Here is a 5,411-nt window from a genome sequence, read left to right on the forward strand (position 1 = left end):
GGTTGGAAAAAAAACAAAATGTTCAAAGAAAAGCAATGTATTAAAAACATTTTCCCACCACGACCACCCCAGTTCAAAGGGATTTTGCATCTTCATCTATTTTGGAAATAAGAGAGAAAATACATGTGTTCTATATATGCTCATATAATCAATGAGATGACCCAAATGATCATTATCTGCCTGCATATTTGCAAAGACAGTGGATGAGAGAAATTTTAGCGTAACTCTTCTGCTCATAAGTATTCCAATATTCAAAATAATTGTTAGGTATTCTTATTAAGCACTTACCTATGCCCTCATCTCTGTTGGTTGCTGAACAAAGCAACATTAACGCCCCATGAACATTGTACTTAGCAGCTTACTATCTAAAATAGTAAAATGAGAAGCCATTGGTTCAATAGTTGCTTGAAGTCTTGCCATCAAGTTTCAAGCCCAATTTATCCTGACAAATGAATAATAAATTGATTATAAAACCCAAACCACTGTCCCCAGGCCATTGAACATTTAATAGTATATGGAGATGTGGCTCTAAATAGCTAATTCAGGATATGATTGGACTAGCCATTCAGATCTGAATATGTTGTGATTGATTTGAACATGAAGCTTTCTTATGTCTGGCCATAAGAGGATGAGAACTATCTGAGCCATAAGGCAGGAACATAAATTTCTACTGGACTGAGTTCAAGCACTTTCGGGTGAGTTGAGGAGCCAAGCGCAGGCAATCAAGTGTGTACATATGGGAAGAAGGGAGCAAACAAGATAAAAGGAGGATTAGGAAATGTGTTCCTGCTGCCCAACATCATCCCTTCATCAATCTCCTGAGTACTAATTCATTTTGAAAGATTATTCATTATGTGTTTTTGGAGTTTCCTCTTAGGTTTGTAACCTCAAAATGATGAGCCAGATGTTAGAGCGAGTGAGGGTGGGCCTGGACAGAGGTAAAGTAGCCAGAGTGGGCCTTTGTAAACATATGCCCCCACTCATCTCTTCCTCTCCACGGATGCTACACCACCATGAGCAGGTAACTCCGTGCTGCCATTTCCTCCTGTTCCAGGCTCTCATTGGGTACTTTGTCATGGTCTCCATCTCAGTCTGTACCTCAAGTAGTCCCAGGAGACCCCAGGGGTAATGACTAAGCCGGGTCAGTCCACCCACCCGTGCTCCAAGACCAGCCATGCATTGCCTCCCAAAGTATCTTTATGCCTCCAGTGGAAGAAAACAAGATTCAGTTTCCTGTCATCTCATCCCAGCTCTATCTGAAATGCACTAAAGTGCCTGGATTTAAATTATTAAAGAAAGGGAAGGGGGAGAGGCTCAAGGAAATTAGGAGAAAGTGTCTTTGAAGGCTGTTATGGAAATTAGGTCTCCACCTGCTTTATTATCTTTATAAAAAATATTTTAAAGAATGTAAGAGTATTCCATAAACATAGTGATCAAGGACAAATGAGAGAACTAGCTGTGTGAGAGCTCTAGTACTTGAATCTTTTTACTTTTCAACCCACTCTCCCTTCCTAAGTTAATATGTACTATTTGTTCAATTAAAATGTATATTTATTCAAACACCTAATATGAGCCCAGCACCAGAAAAGCCCATTTACTTGCTCTTTACATATAGTAGTCCCTCCTTATCCAAGGGGAATATATTCCAAGACCCCACAGTAGATGCTCGAATTTAGTAGCTAGTACAGAACACTACATATACTGTGTGTTTGTCCTATGCATTCATATCTATGATAAAGATATCTACTTAATTTATAAATTAGGCACAATAAGAGATTAACAACAATAACTGTAATAAAATAGAACAATTATAACAATATGCTGTAAAAAAAGGTAAAATAAAGGTTAGCAGAACTCAAGCATCAAGATACCATTAAGATCAGCCTGATCGCTGAGTCACTGACTAAGTGATTAAGGGGCTAGGAGCATAGACACCTTGAATACATTGGACAGGAGGATGATTCACATCCTGGGCAAGATGGAGCGAGACGATATGAGATATTATTATACTATTCAGGACAATGTGCAATTTAAAACTTATGAATTGTTTATTTCTGAGATTTTCTATTTAATATTTTCAGATATTAGTAGGTTGCGGATAACTGGAACCCTGGAAAGAGAAACTGCTGATAAGGGTGGAATACTGTATTTAGGGCACTGATTTTGTTTCTTAAAATTATCAGTGCAAGAGAGTAGAAGGGAGTCTTGAGGCGAAAAGTTTTCATTTGATATTATTGAAGGCAGAACTTTTGTCCCCAAGATCTTTTCTCTCCTGGTTATGTCACACTATATGGAAAAAATGGATTTTGCAGAAGTAATTACAGTTACTAATCTGCTGACCTTAAGATAGGAATATTTTCCAATGTAGGCCCAATTTAATCACATGAGCCCCTAAAAGCAAAGAACTTTCTTTGGCTGGAGACAAAAGATATGGCAGAACAGAAAGTCAGAGACTCAAAACATTTATGACTCACCTTTGCTGTCTTGGGATGGAAAGGACAGCATGACAAGGAACACAGGTGGCTTTAAGGAGCTGAGAGATGCTGGTAGAGCATAGCTAGCCAGGAAATAGGGACTGCAGCCTCCCAGCCACTAGATATTGGGTTCTACTTATAAGCAGATTTCTCTACCTCCTCCCCAACAGCCTCCAGATAAAAGACCAGGCTGGCTGACACCTTATCTTCCACCTGGTGAGATCGGAAACAAAAGAATCAGTGGAGCCCATTCAGGCTTCTGAGCTACAAGAACTGTGAAAAATTCAATCTGTTGTGTTAAGCTTCAAAGTTTGCAGTAATTTGTTATGTCACTGATAGGAAAGTAATAATACACATGTAATAAATCATTTCTCCAGAAAACACACACATGTGCATGCACACACACACACACATACCCAATGACTATGGATGCCACACCACTCTGCTGTTTGAATTTTACAGTCAAGTGGGCATAATAAGAAAAAATAAGGTTTGGAGTGGTAGCTCACACCTGCAATTCCAGCACTTTGGGAGACCAAGGCAGGTGAATTCATTGAGCCCAGGAGTTCAACGACAGACTATGCAACATAGTGAGACCTTGTCTCTACAAAGAATACAAAAATTAGCCAGGCATGGTGGCATGATGGCATGACCCTATAGTCCCAGCTCCTCATGAAGCTGAGGTGTGAAGATTGCTTGAGCCCAGGAGGTGGAGGTTGCAGTGAGCCATGATTGCACCACTGCACTCCAGCCTGGGCAACAGAGTGAGACCCTGTCTCAAAAAAAATCAAAACAAAAAGAAGAAAAAGTAAAAGAAAGAAAGAGAGAGACAGGGGGAGAAACGAAAGAAGAAAGAAAGAAAGAAAGAAAGAGAAGAAAAAAGAAAGAAAAGGAAAATCAGAGGACAGCCTTTAAAAACTCATCTGACTTTTAATCTGAGCAGAGAAAATAGTGGCAGCAAATTTCTTTTTGTCCCCATCATTAAATGGAGTAATAAAGTCCACATCTAAGCATTTTGTGAGAATTAAATGTAATTTTCTTAGCACATTTTCAACGCTCTGTATGTGATAGTATCCCTTTCTCCTCCTTCCACTCCCCAACTGAGGCTGTCACTTGATTTTATTGTACCTGTATATTTACAGGGTTATACATCCTAAAAAAAATAAATCTGTAATATAAACAAGGAATTGGCAAACTTGGCAGTGAATCAGTATCATCTCAAATGCTTGTTAAATATAGACTCTTCCAACCCACACCACACCTACTGACTGTGAGTCTCCAGGGGTGGTCTTCCAGGTATGTGAGTTTCTAACATGTTCCCGAGGTGAGTCGCATGCAGGGCACACTGAAGAATCATGCAGCTCGGGTATGGCCAGACTTGATCAGAATGGAGTTATCAATGCTGAGTTATGTGAATCTGCCAGATGGGTAGTGTGGCTCCACGTCATGGCTGAGGACAGAATCATCGCTCTTTTTGGCAGTCAGGTAGGCTGCTCCATCTGCTCTTCATAGATTCCGCCAGCGAGCTAAAGGAAGAAAAAGGAACTTTGTTCTTTCTACCTCTTAGTTTAGAAGGTTAGGTAGGAGGGCATTACTATAAAAGAAGAAGAAGAAGAAAAGATAATGCCATAGTGGGACTACTCAAAATCAGACCCAAAGCTGCTGAGTTGATAGCTGTCGTTGTAATTCAGCTGTGGTTGAAGTTGGAAAACCTGCTGGGTTTGTGGGAACCAGCCTCTAGTAGCAACTGTGACCGTTATTTTTCTCTTTTATGGTGTTTCCTTTTAAACTATGTTTGAGATCTTTGTTGTAGACGTATACCCTGTGGCACCAGCCTGGTGTGTGGAGACATCAGTGAGATACAGCACATAAAAGGATATAGTGTAAGTGTGACGAATCACAATGACAAGGCTGAGTTGGTAACTTGTGAATGATAAAGTGAATTGAAAACTCCCTTCCTGTGACAGTGCAAAGGGAAGATGGGGGGCAACCTGAAGATTTGGACTGTGTTCTTTTCCCTGGAAAGTGTGGCCACACACACTATGTGCCACCACGTCCTGATCAAACATCCAAGGTCTGCATTCACTCTGTCCAAAATAAATATCATCTGCCATCAAGTGCACACATTATTAGCAACAGGCTACATGAGTTAATCATTCATGAAGGTGGGGAATTTGGCATTGATCCAACATTGAGCAATGTGTGAGTAAGATGAAAGAGCCTTGCCTAGGTATTCAGAAGAAAGACCAGTGCAATCAACAAAGCAATGCAGTTATTAAAGCCCTCCCATGGTGAATAAATACAAAATCATCAATGACAGCTTTGGAAAAAATACTTTCCCCTGTAGTGACCTCTTTGTACCCCTCCTGTGTTTGACTTAAGAAACAAAATTTTAGTTTATAAAAATAAATGAAAAATCAAGTCATATCCCAAACATCAAACAAAACGAATTCAAGTAACACACTGAGTTTTACTTCTGGCTTGTGCTTGACATGAAGAAATGGTCATGGCTGCTTTTTGGCATCTTTTCAACTGGACTTTCTTAACGGGACTTCCAGGATGATGTTAATTCAGAAAAGAGTTACAAAATAAAGGTGCTTTGAAGAAAAGAAAGCAAGGCTGTGGTTCAAATACAATGGATTCTTCCAAGACTTGCTTTGTGGTCACTGTCAGTTGTATCATTGTCTGGAGCATCGCTTATGAGCCAGGTACCGAGAACATGCACTAACTGGCTGTACAACATAGTGAGTTCTTTTGTTTTACAGTTGGAAACATACTGCTGTATCCCTCTCCTTATCTTGTACAAATTTAACTTGATTGGTTCCTTTCTGCCACACAAATAAAAAGAGAAAAAGACTCTTTCAGAATTGTCAAACTTGCTGATAAAATATTTCAGAATTATGAAAAAATAGCATATTGAGCTATATTAGATGTACA

At 39.6% G+C, this 5,411-nt stretch overlaps 1 annotated feature.

Annotated features, from left to right (window-relative positions):
• Positions 3,768 to 4,967: an enhancer, noted in NCBI's record as "BRD4-independent group 4 enhancer chr2:146557300-146558499 (GRCh37/hg19 assembly coordinates)". NCBI's record gives its function as "activates an origin of replication core promoter dependent on BRD2, P300/CBP, MED14 and CDK7 cofactors, and independent of BRD4, by STARR-seq in HCT116 cells {active_cell/tissue: HCT116}" and the evidence as "EXISTENCE:reporter gene assay evidence [ECO:0000049][PMID:35650434]".

This window comes from Homo sapiens, chromosome 2 (genome assembly GCF_000001405.40).
Source record: "Homo sapiens chromosome 2, GRCh38.p14 Primary Assembly".
Lineage (NCBI taxonomy): Eukaryota > Metazoa > Chordata > Mammalia > Primates > Hominidae > Homo > Homo sapiens.